The sequence below is a fragment of the Homo sapiens genome, chromosome 8 (genome assembly GCF_000001405.40).
Source record: "Homo sapiens chromosome 8, GRCh38.p14 Primary Assembly".
Lineage (NCBI taxonomy): Eukaryota > Metazoa > Chordata > Mammalia > Primates > Hominidae > Homo > Homo sapiens.
In genome coordinates, this window is record NC_000008.11 from 122,457,078 (window position 1) to 122,471,714 (window position 14,637).

Sequence of the window (14,637 nt, forward strand, 5' to 3'; positions counted from 1 at the left end):
AATTTTAAAAATATAAATATTTTGACAAGCTACCACTAGTGTTCTTTTTTTTATTTTATTATTATTATACTTTAAGTTTTAGGCATGTGCACAATGTGCCGGTTAGTTACATATGTATACATGTGCCATGCTGGTGTGCTGCACCCATTAACTCGTCATTTAGCATTAGGTATATCTCCTAATGCTATCCCTCCCCCCTCCCCCCACCCCACAACAGTCCCCAGAGTGTGATGTTCCCCTTCCTGTGTCCATGTGTTCTCACTGTTCAATTCCCATCTATGAGTGAGAACATGCGGTGTTTGGTTTTTTGTCCTTGCGATAGTTTACTGAGAATGATGATTTCCAACTTCATCCATGTCCCTACAAAGAAATTATGGCTCTAACTTGATCGAGCTCCAAAGGGGCTTCAGTTAAAGTTAATCTCTCTTTGCAGGATTTAAAAATTAATGTTCACCAGACTTCTTGCCAACTCCACAGGAAGGAGTAACTTAAAGTCCAAAAATATTCTTAACATTAGATTCAAGTTACATGTCAATCTGAATGGAGTGAATATAATAAACCAGCAAAATTGAACCTGAATTGCCTAAGAGAATCTGTAGATTCACTAAGGAATTCTACTCCACATTGTCATCATAATTGAGATTTAGAGATTCCTATTAAGGGCAAAACAAGACAAGATTTCAGAATCATGACACTGAAAAGTGCTTCTATTGATCAAGAATGGGATTGAAGATTACTAAAATTGAAATAATATCAAATGGTTATGAACTTCTGAATCTACCCAACTAAACCCTCCTACTCTCTTAAAGAAAATAGTGGATGGCTACATATTTGGATGGTGATTAACCTTTTATTTCTTCCTTCTTTCAAATTATATCCTAAAATACTTCTGCTACTTCTACAATATTTTTTTGCTTGTGATACTAAAAGTTCCTATTTCAGTTTCTTCTTCAAATTACAAACCTCCTCATTCTGCTTTAGTCATCCAGAAAAAAGTATTGATGTATTGGGCACTCACTCTATGCCAGACTTTTCTCTTTTTTCTTTTTTTGCTAGATTCAATATATTTCAAAAGACAACCTATTTCTGCTGCCAGTGTTTATTGGTATATTGTAAAGAAAACATGCATTTACACAAATACACTCTCACACATATACAGTAATATGTGACAAATGCTAACTTGTATTCCTCATAGAGGTTTTCTCTGACCTTTTTATAAGGCAACCACCACCCCTCTGCCCTTCTTGAAAAACACCATTAGCCACACTTCTACGAGATTAATACTAATCAGACCTGTAGCCATTTTTAGGGCTTAAAGTTTACATCAACCCCAGGGAGGACACAGTGGAAACAGTGGGTGGAGGGGAGTGATATAAAAGAAATCAAGGCATCACCGAGACCAACATCAAGAATTTTATTTTTATTTTTATTGAGGATGGGGGAAAACTGGAGATAGGTTGATAAATCTGTTTCATGTGGCTTTACCTTCCAAACTTCAGAGACTGAGATTTGTATTCAAACAAGCCTCAGTTCAAATTCTGTCCTTATGAGTACTACAATCTTTAAAAAAAATTTTATTCTCTTAAGCTTCAATTTTTCTCACTTGTCAAGCTGAGATAATAGTACTTGCCACGCAATGCCAAAACCCCCAAAATTGAGATAATACATGTAACAGACTTAGTGAGATTCCTGGCATGTAATAACTATGTTGGAAATGGTAGATAACGGTTATGATTATTCATGGCGGTTACCAAGTATTTATTCATCCATTCAACAAAGAATAATTAAGCTTATACTAATGTATTTTCTCAATTCTGAGACCAATCTTTTTTCACATTTCAGCAATCAAAGCGCATTTAATATACATAATGGCTTTTTTCTTCTGCAAAGATGTCTATTAATTTGCTAATGTATCATAAAGTGACAATGTCCTAGGTCTAGCCACCATGCTAGAAAGTGGAGGGTGACAAAAATAAGTAAGAAAGCCCCTGCCCTTTTTACAGACCGTGATACCCGGCAGAGAAGCCACATGACTTCAGCCTTCAGCTTCAAAATTCTGAGCTACCACTACATACTTCCATATGCTGTCCCAATTGTTCCAAAAACTGGGGGTATCACAGACCGCTTTGAGAATGTCATGAAAGTTGTGGGCTTTCTCTACAGGACAAAAGTACACATACATATGAGTTTTACAGAGAATCTTAGGAGTTTTGTAGACTCTCCAAAGACAATCCATGGTGTTCCCTAAAAGAATTTATAAAATGTATGTAAGAATCCCTGCTTGCCCTCTTAGGAAAATTCCCCAGTTATTCTGCAGGTCACTTCTATGATACTCCAACCCCTGGAGTTTAAGCATAAGTATGCCCTGAAGATGAGGAGTGGAGTGCAAAGCTAAGAATCACTGGCTCAGAGAGTCCTTGACAACAGTTTATGTTGGGCTGGTAGCCAAAAGAATTCAATATAACAAGAGAGAAAAGGGGGTTTACATCAGCCTTAGGAAAAACAATGTACAACTCATTACTTTCTTTATTCATTTAGCACAAGTCAACCAACCACAGTATCAATGTTTGATTTACTCTCCCACTATGATCACCCATCTTCATAGCCTCATGGTCACTGCTCCAAATCTAGACTTGTGGTTTGGCTGCATCTCAAGACTTGAACCATAAATGTCAATATAAATGCACATTTTCTAGAAGGATGACAAAATTCAAAACATTCTATTTTCAGGAAAATAATGTGCAAACATATCATTATAATATCCTTTTATCTACAATTTATAAAACTCTGGTCAAAATGTTTGTCTAAAAAAATTCCTGGCAGGATGCTGATATGAGCCTCCAGGCTCTCTCTTCTTTAACATAGGCAATTCATCAGGCTACACACAAAAGCACCCAAAAGTCTGCAATGGTTCTCTTTAAATAAAGGCTTGAAGCACGCAGGGGCCTTTTGTAGAAAGAGAAATAGAGGAGATCCCCAAGGTCGGGGTGCTGTACACAGAAGAAGGATCTTAAAGCAGGAACAACTCATTTGTGACATGGTCATTGCAAGGTCAGAAACGAATAAAGCCAGAAACCAAACCTGGACTCCAATGTCTAATTATTAAATACAATCAAGAGGAATGAAAAATCTATAGAAGACTAGAAATGGACATTGAAGTTGGGTATTGAGTCAAAATCTGAAACAAAGGAAGAAATGTCGTAGTTTAGAATATAAATGGTGGGAAGAGACAGTGGTGGGAGCCTGACTTGAGAGATGATCTCAGACACCATCTGGATTTTGCAGCTTGTTTTAAGGACTAGTTGAGATGTGTTGCTTGTAAGGATGGACTTGGCTTAAAGACCTGAAAATGGGGTCATAAAAATGCTTTTTTAAATATGCATAACTTTTTAAATAGCAGGGTACTTTTAAAAGCTATAGAAAAATCTCATGATACATTGAATTCTTAAACAACACATTGAATTTGGAATATCTTGGCAGGTTCCAACAAAGCTGAATATTTCAGTTATATTCATGATACTGCGTCCTGTCTAGTGATTATTTCCCAGCAGCTCATAAAGCCAGGGTGTGTTTTTAAATAGAGCCACATTCTTTCATTTGTGACTCCTTTCTCTGTACATATATATATATATATATATATATATGTACATATATACGTATATACGTATATATGTACATATACGTATATATGTACATATATGTACATATATCTGTATGTAGTCTTAATGTGTGTATATATATAATGTGTGTATATATATAATGTGTGTATATATATATAATGTGTGTATATATATATATAATGTGTATATATAGATATATACACATTAAGACTACATACAGATATATGCAGTCATATATTTTCTTCTGATTTAAAAATAATAATAAAACATGTTGCCGGGCCCTAGGCATCTCATGCATAATTGTAGTAAATTGACCCTGGTTGTAAACACTTTTTCAGTTCTTGGTGGAACCCAATTTCTGAAGCTGAGGCTGAAAACAGAGACTCTAGGATCTAAACTCAAGGGGAAAGGGTTATGGAGATAAGACATAATGTGGAGTATTATCTACACCTGCCACAAAAGGGAGACGGAGCATGTCAACTTTTGATGTAAGATTTTTGGCTAAAAATGTACCGTATTTTAAAACAACTAAAGAACATATCTCAAAAGCAAATGCACAGACGATACCTCAGTGATTCTCTACCAGAGGTGAAATAACCCCACCTAGGGGCTCCTGAGTAAGAAGGAGGGGGCTGGTTGTCATAATAACCAAGAGGAATTTGCTACTGCCCTGTAGGGGGTGAGAGCCAAGAAGGTGAAATGCCCTACAATGAGTGGACAGTCCACGCGATGAAAAACGGCCCAACCCAAGATGCTAATATTACCTCTATGAAGAAGTCAAACAGATTGACTTAGAAGACAATGTTTAATAAAGAGAGAAAGAACAAAAGGCACTATTATCTCTCTAAGTTACGTATGAACAAACTAGGAAATAAAATGTTCTGTTGAAAGATGGCTGATGATTGAAAGCAATGTTAATTGTCACTTAACCTCTTTGTGACAATTCCTTCATCTCTAAGTGGGAATGGTAGTAATTATTTCATAGAGCTATTAAGATTTCATTGAGTTAATATATTTAAAGCATGTTCAATAATACCTGGCACATAGCAATCCCTAAATAGGGCTTATGTATTTTATTATTTCTAAGAAAAAAAATTGAACTGTAAAGATTTCCTTGGAAGAAAAGTAATTTTTATCTTTGCTTTTGAACAGAAGGCAACCAACATCTGTTCAAATAGCCTTGCTTCCATAATGAAAAGGTTTTCATCATTACCGTAGATGTTTTTCTCCTCTCTAGCTCCCAAATCCCACCCATTCACAGAAATGTGCAGGGAATGTCCTTTCCACCAGACCCCAGTGCTTCTCCAAGCAGAGACGGCACAGCCCAAGGGGATTGAGAAAGAACAAGCTGTCTCTGCTAAAACCTGTCTCCCAGAAATCATCAGACCTGCTCTGGCCCCAGCTGTACTCTGAAGCCACAACTTAGGTAATTAGCAGTGGCCTCTGCCAACCTGTTGAGTTCACAACTCCTGGTTCTGCACTGCTCCAGAACCTCCTGAGTCAACTCTGATGCCATGGCATATGGTCTGCAATTTTGCCTGGGATTCTTTGTTGGGGATGGCTCCAAGAAGTTTATAGGGGGTGCAGCCTATCGGTACCACAGGGCCTGACATCTCCCACGTTGCGGACTGGTCCCTTAGCATCTCCTAGGACACTGCACAGATGGTGCAGGTATAGCCATTTGATATGACAGGACTCTCCAGCTTCATTTTACCATAAACGAAGAGACTTGGAAGATTTTCAGAGTACAAAGCTAATGACAGTTTGAGGAATCCCATAATTTACATGCTGATTATGTCTTAATCCATTGACAAAAACAAGGCATATAAACAAACACCTAGTTTTTAATCCCAGGAGCCTAATTGCAAGTCAGTACATCAGTCTTAACAATGAGGGGGTTAGAGGGAACTGAATCCAAGGTGAAGAATGTTTTCTAAACTCTCCTGCGGGCTCCACATCCACCTAAGGAAAAAAAAGTGTCCTGACTCTGTAGAAAAAATATATTCCCTTTTAATAGTATGTACCAATAAGAAAAAGTAATTAAAATTGGTTAGAATCTTGGCTCTACTACTTACAAGGTATGAGATTTATGCAAGTTTTTGGGCTTCTCTGAGGCTCAATTTCTTTCTTGTTAATTAAGATAATAGTATTGACTGCCTGATAAGATTGCCATGAAGATTAAACGTGATAATGTACTTCAGCATTTAACAAGTACCTGGCACACAGAAAATCCTCAATAAAAGCGGCCATTATTATAACTATTATTATTTTCATTAGCATCATGTTCATTACTTTTTTTTTTTTTTTTTTTTGAGATGGAGTCTCACTCTTGTCGCCCAGGCTGGAGTGCAATGGCATGATCTCAGCTCACTGCAACCTCCGGCTCCTGGGTTCAAGCAGTTCTACTGCCTCAGCCTCCCAAGTAGCTAGGATTACAGATGCCTGACACCACGCCTGGCTAATTTTTGTGTTTTTAGTACAGACAGAGTTTCACTGTGTTGGCCAGGCTGGTCTCGAACTCCTGACCTCAGGTGATCCAGCCTCCTTGGCCTCCCAAAGTGCTGGGATTACAGGAGTGAGCCACCGTGCCCAGCCTCATTAATTTTTTTATTACATTGCCTCTCAACCAAATAATTGTGGGTTCACTATTTTTTAATTTACCAAATATTGACTGATCACCTACTATGTGTTAGGGACTACACATGATGGAGACAGACAAGTTCTCTCCTCTAATGAGGTTTACATTCTTCTCTCTCTCTCTGAGTGTGTGTGTGTGTGTGTGTGTGTGTGTGTGTGTGTGTGTGTGAGATAATACAAAATATATATTTGGTCTTTGTCCCTAATCTGGTTCCTAGCACACAGCTCCTAAAACACAATTTCCTGAATGATAAAAGTATATTTTATTATTAATGCCAGGAGCGGTAGCTCATGCCTGTAATTCCAGCACTTTGGGAAGCCAAGGCAGGTCGATCACCTGAGGTCAGGAGTTCGAGACCAGCCTGGCCAACATGGTGAAACCCTGTCTCTACTAAAAAATACAAACAATTAGCTGGGTGTGGCAGTGGGCACCTGTAATCCCAGCTACTCTGGAGGCTGAGGCAGGAGAATCGCTTGAACCCAGGGGGTGGAGGTTGCAGTGAGCTGAGATTGTGCCACTGCACTCCAGCCTGGGCAACAGAGAAAACTCTGTCTCCAAAAAAAAAAAAAAAAAAAAAAAAAAGTATATTTTACTATTCGTAATGAGTTCGATTTGACCATACCTGAGCTTATGCTAAGGAGATGACTCATGGTGAGAGTGGGAGAGGAACAAGGAAGGAGCTAGACAGCTTCAGGATGAGGGCTGGTCACACCACAAAAACCAACCACATGATTAGAGGGTTAGAATGTTCAGTCCCCAGCCTCCAGAGAGAGGAAAGGGGCTAGACATTGAGTTCAATCACCAATGGCCAATGATTTAATCAGTCATGTTGCCTACATAATGAAGCTTTCATAAAAAATCTGAAACAAGGAATCTAAGGAAATTTCTGGGTTGGTGAACTCATTATTATACAGGAGGGTGGCACACCCAAAGTTCTATGCTCCACCCTCCACCCCACTTCTTACTCCCTCCCTATTACCTCCCTCCTCTGTGTGTGCACGCACACACACACACACACACATCTATCCCGAAACCTTGCCTTATGCATCTCTTTCACTTGGGTGTTTCTGACTTGTGTCCTTTATGATAAACCAGTCATTGTGAGTAAAGCCCATTCTTGAGTTCTGTGAGTCCTTTTAGTGATTTATGGAACCAGAGAAGGGTTCCATTACAAATATGGGAACCTCCATATTTGTAGCCAGCTCAGACAGAAGTGTGGGTAGCCTGGGCACCTTCTTTGTATTTGCATTGGAAGTAGGAGCATTCTTGCAAGACTAAGCCCTTAAACCCTGGGTAGTTAGTGTCAGAATTGAATTGAATTATTGCCCACTCTATTGCTGTCAGAGAATTAGAGAATTGGTTAGTGTTTGGAAAAAAAACTACACAATGTGTGTATTGGGGGTGGTGGCAAGAGACAATCAACTAAGAGATAGATAGGACTCTGCCCTTTTACAAAATGATAAATGCTGTGATGAAAATGATAGAGTAGTACCAATAAGAGTAACAGATGTGGTGGCCATATTTGATAGGTTGGTAAGGGAAGCCTCTCAGAAGAGGAAACACCATGCTAAGTGCAAGGAGTATATGAATCATTGAAACCCTAAGCACTACGCAGTACATTCTTCATTTTATGGAAAAATATGCTGACGGAGAGTGAGATTAAATCATTTGCCATAGTCACCCAGCAAAAAAAATGGTAGAGCTAGAATTCTAACTTAATCTGTCTCATCACCCCAACATCCCTTACCTGTTTCAATCTGGTCCATGCTGTCCAACAGAACTTCCCAAGGACGGTTCAATTTCTGTGCTATCCTCTGGTGCATATGTGACTATGGAGTGCTGGAAATATGACTAGAGAGACTGAGAAACTGAATTTTTTTTGTCTTATTTAATTTTCATCATTTGAATTCAAACAGTAACATGTAGCTAATGGCTTCTATCTTCCACAGTGAAGGTCTAGGATTTCTTTCTTGTGTGACACCCCCCATCACTTGGGTTTCTTCCTGACGTTCTGAAGCTTTCTGGACTCCACTTTCTAAGAAAGATGTCATCTGGCAGCAAACACACCTGCTAACGATTAGCTACATTCAACCCCCCACAGGCCTGTGTCACTATAATTAGTCACTGTGTTCCAAAAATGGATATTAATTATGTCTTTATTTCATTTTATATTTTACTTACATGTTTTTTAATGTTAAAAAAACTGCAATATTTTAGGCACACCCAAATGCCGGAAGCTTATTAAACCAAAGGTGCAAGGGAGAATGCTGATTGAGACCACATGGGCATTTTCTTAGAACAAACCTTAGAGGAAAGAAAGGCAGTGTGAAGGGAAAGCCTCTGCCTCATCAAATGGCTGCAACTTTAATTATTAAGAAGTAAGCGATGCTGTTAGGCAAACCTTACAGACAGTGACCATGGGTGGATTGACTTATTTTACTCTTTCTGCATCAAGTCCCAAAAGCAAAGATCAGCATTGCAAATAATAAAACAATGCCACAGTCCAAAACCATACTCTGGAACCTTCTGTATTCTGATTGACTGACATGAGTCATGCTCTGTGAACAGAACACAGCTCATGTGTGATTCAAAATCCATGAGTTTCAGACCCAGCACAGCCACCCAAATTTGCTAAATGACTTGGGAAAATCATTTACCTCTCTGAGCTCAGCTTACACATAATGTAGAATGAAGATAAAAACAGAACCAGCTGTTTTGGTGTTTGTTGAAAATTAAACAAGATAATAATTGTGTAGAATGTAGCATGACATTTGATATTAATATCGAATATGCAAAAATGAAGAGATTAAGAAGGGAAGGTGGCTGACTAGACACAGCCAGGTGGAACAGCTGCCACCGAGAGACTGAGACAACTGGTGCACTCCTAACAGATCTTCAGAGGGAAGGCATTGAGAGTGCATGGAGGGAACACACACAAGCTGGGCTGAAGGGGGAGGAAGCTGGGAACCCTGCACAGGACTACTGCGCACTGGGAAACTTGTTCCTGGCCCCCAGTGACCCCAAGGGAATGGGTGAATTGAACTGGCAAGGACTAATTTGCTCTTGCCACTGGCCTCTGGAATCCCAGCAGAGGAAATTCCTTAACCACCATAGACACTTGAGTTGGCAGAGAGGGCTGCTTAGAGAAATGATAGGAGTAACACACCAGCTAATGCAGAGCCCAGAGGTTTCGTGTGGGAGCATCTGTAGTGGAGCACAGCCAAGGAAGCCCATCTCTCTAAGCTTGACTTGCTCCCATAAGAGACTTTAGCCCTAGGGGAACTGTCCTATCTGAACTCTGTAGGGTGGCCTTGCCCATAAGATGAAGCCAGTCCTATCTGAGCCCCCTTTGGCCTGCTGGCCTCTCCCAGGGCCTCAGCCTGACTGCACCTGCTTGCAGGGCAGCCTCAGGTGGGAGGAAAGGGGAGGGACCTGCATTATAGCTCCTGCACTGGCAGACTGTGCCTGACCAGTGAAGAGAGCTCCAGCAGGATGGCCCCCAGCAACACAACAACCCACCCACTCCCTCCCCACACTGCAGCTTCCTCCAGGCCCATGGCAAGCCCTCACATTGCTTTGCCAACATGTGTATGTGCTTGTGGGTTTTGCCTTCCTTGCCCAGTCAGCACGCCTAATGTGCATTCACTCTGCCCTGTCACTGCTGAGAGAGTGCACTCCACCTCCCACACACCTCCCCGACCCCCAGACCACCATTGCACTTGGAGCCTTGGTAGGCACAGAGCTAGCCAGCCCTGACCCTGCCTGCACCCAGCCCTTGCAGGAACTAGGCACAGGGAACAGCAGACCCTCCCCCACTCTGAGCTACCTTCTCTGCCTGCCTGTGGTGCACAGAGAGGCCTGCTCCCACCTGCACCCCGCCCTCATGCTAAAATCACTGTTAGCCCATCAGTTAACACAGTTACCAGCAGGGGGCTCCCACCCACTGCCCCAGCCATGCTGCCTCTGCCACTGTGGTGAACGTCCATATAGCCCCAGGCACCCTGGCATCAATTAGCACCCTGCTGCAGCAAAAGAGCATGCACCCTGACACTCTGCCACTACCGCTGCTGCTGGCACATGTAGATGAGAACAGATCCCACTGCCATAGCATGACAAAATGCTTTGGATGACACCACCCATCAGAATGTAGTGACCACCAGTCTGGAAGCACCTCAGGGGCTATCCCCATTGCAGTGGATTCCTAACCTTGAGAAGCCAGAGAGCAATGTCGGAGCCCGATACAAGTCCTCTATAGTCAGAGCACACAGTCCAGGAGTCAAGAGCTGAGGATTGACCACCTAAAATCTTTCAGAAACAAAGCCAGTTAGCTGAATCCACCTTATACCACAATCACATCTTCAACATCATCAAATAGGATAAAAGGAAAAAAAAATTCATCCAAAGTTCTGCAACTTCAAAGACTGAAGAAACATCAACCTACAAAGATGAGAAAGAACCAACGCAAGAACTCTGACAACACAAAAAGCCAGAGTGCCTTCTTTCCTCCAAATGACTGCACCACCTTTCCAGCAAGGGTTCTGAACCAGGCTGTGAGGGCCGATATGACAGAAATAGGATTCAAAATATGGATAGGAATGAAGATCATTGAGCTACAGGCATACATTGAAACTCAATTCAAGCAAGCTAAGACTCACAGTAAAATGATACAGGAGCTGACAGACAAAATAACTAGTATAGAAAGAACATAACCAACCTGATACAGCTGAAAACACACCACATGCATTTTATAATGCAATTACAAGTATTAATAGCAGAATAGACCGAGCTGAGGAAAGAATATCAGAGCTTGAAAAATGGCTTTCTGAAATAAGATAGTCAGATAATAATAGAGAAAAAAATGGAAAGTAATGAACAAAACCTCCAAGAAATATGGGACTATGCAAAGAGACCAACTCTATGACTTATTGGGGACCCTAAAAGAGATTGGGAGAGTGTAAGCAACTTGGAAAATATATTTCAGGATATCATCCATGAGAATGTCCCCAACCTAGTTACGTGCCAACATTCAAATTCAGGAAATGCAAAGAATCCCAGTAAGATACTGCACAAGAAGATCATCCCCAAGATACATAATTATCAGTTTCTCTGAGGTTGAAATGAAAGAAAAAATGTTAAAGACAGCTAGAGAGAAAGGTCAGGTAACCTACAAAAGTCAGGTAACCTACAAATAACTATCAGACTAACAGCAGAAACCCTACAAGCCAGAAGACATTGGGGGCCTATATTCAATATTCTTAAAGAAAAGAAATTCCAACCTAGAATTTCATATTCAGCCAAACTAAGCTTCATAAGTGAAGGAGAAATAGAAACCTTTTCAGACAAGCAAATGCTGAGGGAATTTATTACCAGACCTACCTTACAAGAATTCCTGAAGGAAGCACTAAATACGGAAGGGAAAAACCATTACCAGCACTACAGAAACACACTTAAGCACAAAGACCAGTGACACTATAAAGCAACCACACAAGTCTGTATAATAATCAGCTAATATCATGAGGATAGGATCAAATTCACACATGTCAGTACTAACCTTGAATGTAAATGGGCTACATGCCCCAAATAAAATGCACAGAGTGACATGCTGTATAAAGAACCAAGACCCATTGGTGCGTTGTCTTCAAGAGACCCATCTCACGTGCTTAGACATCCATAGGCTCAAAATAAAGGGATGGAGAGAAATCTACCAAGCAAATGGAAAACAGAAAAAAAAGCAGGGGTTGCAATCCTAACTTCAGACAAAACAGACTTTAAACCAGCAAAAAACAAAAAAGGCAAAGAACATGACATAATAAATAAAGGGTTCAATTCAACAAGAAGACCTAACTATGCTAAATATATATGCACCCAAGACAGAAGCACCCAGATTCATAAAGCGAGTTTCTAGACACTTTCAAAGAGACTTAGACTCCCACGCAATAATAGTGGGAAACTTTGGCTGGGCATGGTGGCTCATGCCTGTAATCCCAGCACTTTGGGATGCTGAGGCAGGTGGATCACAAGGTCAGGAGATCGAGATCATCCTGGCTAACACGGTGAAACCCTGTCTTTACTAAAAATACAAAAAATTAGCCAGTTGTCATGGCACATATCTGTAGTCCCAGCTACTCAGGAGGCTGAGGCAGGAGAATCACTTGAACCCAGAAGGCAGAGGTTGCAGTGAGCCAAGATCATGCCACTGCACTCCAGCCTGGGTGACAGAGCAAGACTCTGTCTAAAAAAAAAAAAAAAAAAAAAATTGTGGGAAACTTCAACACCCCACTGACAGTATTAGATATATCATTGAGGCAGAAAATTAACAAGGATATTCAGGACCTGAACTCAGCACTGTATTAAATGCACCTGATAGACCTCTACAGAACACTCCACCCCAAAGCAACAGAATATACATTTTTCTCATCACCATATAACACATACACTAGAATCAACCCCATAATTGGATACAAAACACTCTTCAGCAAACACAATATAAGTGAAATCATAACAATCACTCTCTTGGACCACAGTGCTAGTAAAAGAAAACCTTCAGGTGAATTAAATTTAAAGGAGTTTAATTGAGCAATGAATGATTCACAAATAGGGCAGCCCCCAGAATCAGAGCAGATTCAGAGAGACTCCAGCACAGCCACATGGTGGAAGAAGATTTACAGACAAAAAAAAAGGGAAATGACGTACAGAAATTGGAAGCAAGGTACAGAAACAGCTGGATTGGTTACAGGTTGGTGTTTGCCTTATTTGAACATGGTTTGAACAGTTGGTTACATTTGATTGCCCAGTGCTCAGTAATTGGCACAGGTGTGGGCTATGGTCAGTTTTCACTTCCACTTGTTATAGTTCATGATGTACTGAAAAAACTTTTAGGCCTAACTTAAATATGTAAGGAGGCAGCTTTAGGCTAAACTTGATTAACAGCACTATCAAATTAGAAATCAAACTAAGAATTTCACTTTAAACCATAGAATTACATGGAAATTGAATAATGTGCTCCTAAATGACTTTTGGATAAATAATGAAATTAAGTCTGAAATCAAGAAATCATTTGAAACTAATGAGAACAAAGACACAACATACCAGAATCTCATGGACTTAGCTAAGGCAGTGTTAAGCAGAAAATTTATAGCACTAAATGATCATATCAAAAAGTTAGAAAGATCTCAATCTGACAACCTAACATCACAACTAAAAGAATTGGAGAACCAAAAGCAAACATATCACAAAACTAGCACACAACAAGAAATAATCAAAATCAGAGCTGAACTGAAGGAGACTGAGACATTTAAAACTATTCAAAAGATTAATAAATCTAAGAATTGGTTTAAAAAAATTGGTCAAATAGGTAGACTGCTAGCTAGGCTAATGAAGAAAAGAGAGAAGATTCAAATAAACATGATTAGAAACAACAAAGGGGATATTACCACTGACCCCACAGAAATACAAGTAATCATTAGAGAATATCATGAACACCTCTGTACACATAAACTAGAAAACCTAGAAGAAATGGATAAATTCCTAGACACATACACCCTCCCAAGACTGAGCTGGGAAGAAATTAAATCCCTAAAAAGACCAATAGTGAGCTTCATAATTGAGTCAGTAAAAAATAGGCTACCGACCAAAACAAATCCAAGACGAGACAAAGTAACAGCCAAATTCTACCAGATTTACAAAGAGCTGTACCATTGCTAATGAAAATATCCCAAAGAACTGAAAAGGAGAGATCCTTCCCTAACTCATTCTATGTGGTCAGCATCATCCTGATACCCAAACCTGGCAGAGACACAACAAAAAAAGAAAACTCCAGGCCAATATCCTTGACGAACATTGATGCAAAAATCCTCAACAAAATACTAGCAAACAGAATCCAGCAGCACATCAAAAAGCTCATCCACCATGATAAACTAGGCTTTTTCCCTGAGACGCAAGCTTGGTTCAACATATACAAATTTAAAAATGTGAATCATCACATAAACAGAACTAAAAACAAAAACCACATAATTATCTCAATACATACAGAAAAGGCTTTCAATAAAATTCAACATCCTTTCATATTAAAAACTCTCAATTAACTAGGTGTTTAAGGACATACCTCAAAATAATAAGAGCCATCTATGACAAACCCACATCCAACATCATACTGAGTGGACAAAAGCAGGAAGCGTTCCCCTTGAAAACTGGAACAAGACAAGGTTGTTCTTTCTCACCACTTCTATTCAACATAGTACTGGAAGTCCTTTTCAGAGCAATTAGACAAGAGAAATAAATAAAGAGCAACCAAATAGGGAGACAGAAAGTCAGACTAACCCTGTTTGTAGACATGACACTATATCTAGAAAACTCCATAGTATTGGCCCCAAAACTCAT

The 14,637-nt window shown here is 40.0% G+C and overlaps 1 long non-coding RNA gene across 1 annotated transcript in view, besides 1 other annotated feature; it reads right to left on the reverse strand.

The window, feature by feature from the left end:
* Positions 1-14,637, reverse strand: part of SMILR (smooth muscle induced lncRNA, enhancer of proliferation) — a 154,318-nt gene that overhangs the window by 42,751 nt on the left and 96,930 nt on the right. The gene's annotated exons all lie outside the window — the stretch shown is intronic.
* Positions 9,966-10,474: an enhancer, noted in NCBI's record as "H3K4me1 hESC enhancer chr8:123479282-123479790 (GRCh37/hg19 assembly coordinates)". NCBI's record gives its function as "activates a minimal SCP1, AML or CMV promoter by ChIP-STARR-seq in primed H9 embryonic stem cells {active_cell/tissue: H9 hESC(primed)}" and the evidence as "EXISTENCE:reporter gene assay evidence [ECO:0000049][PMID:30033119]".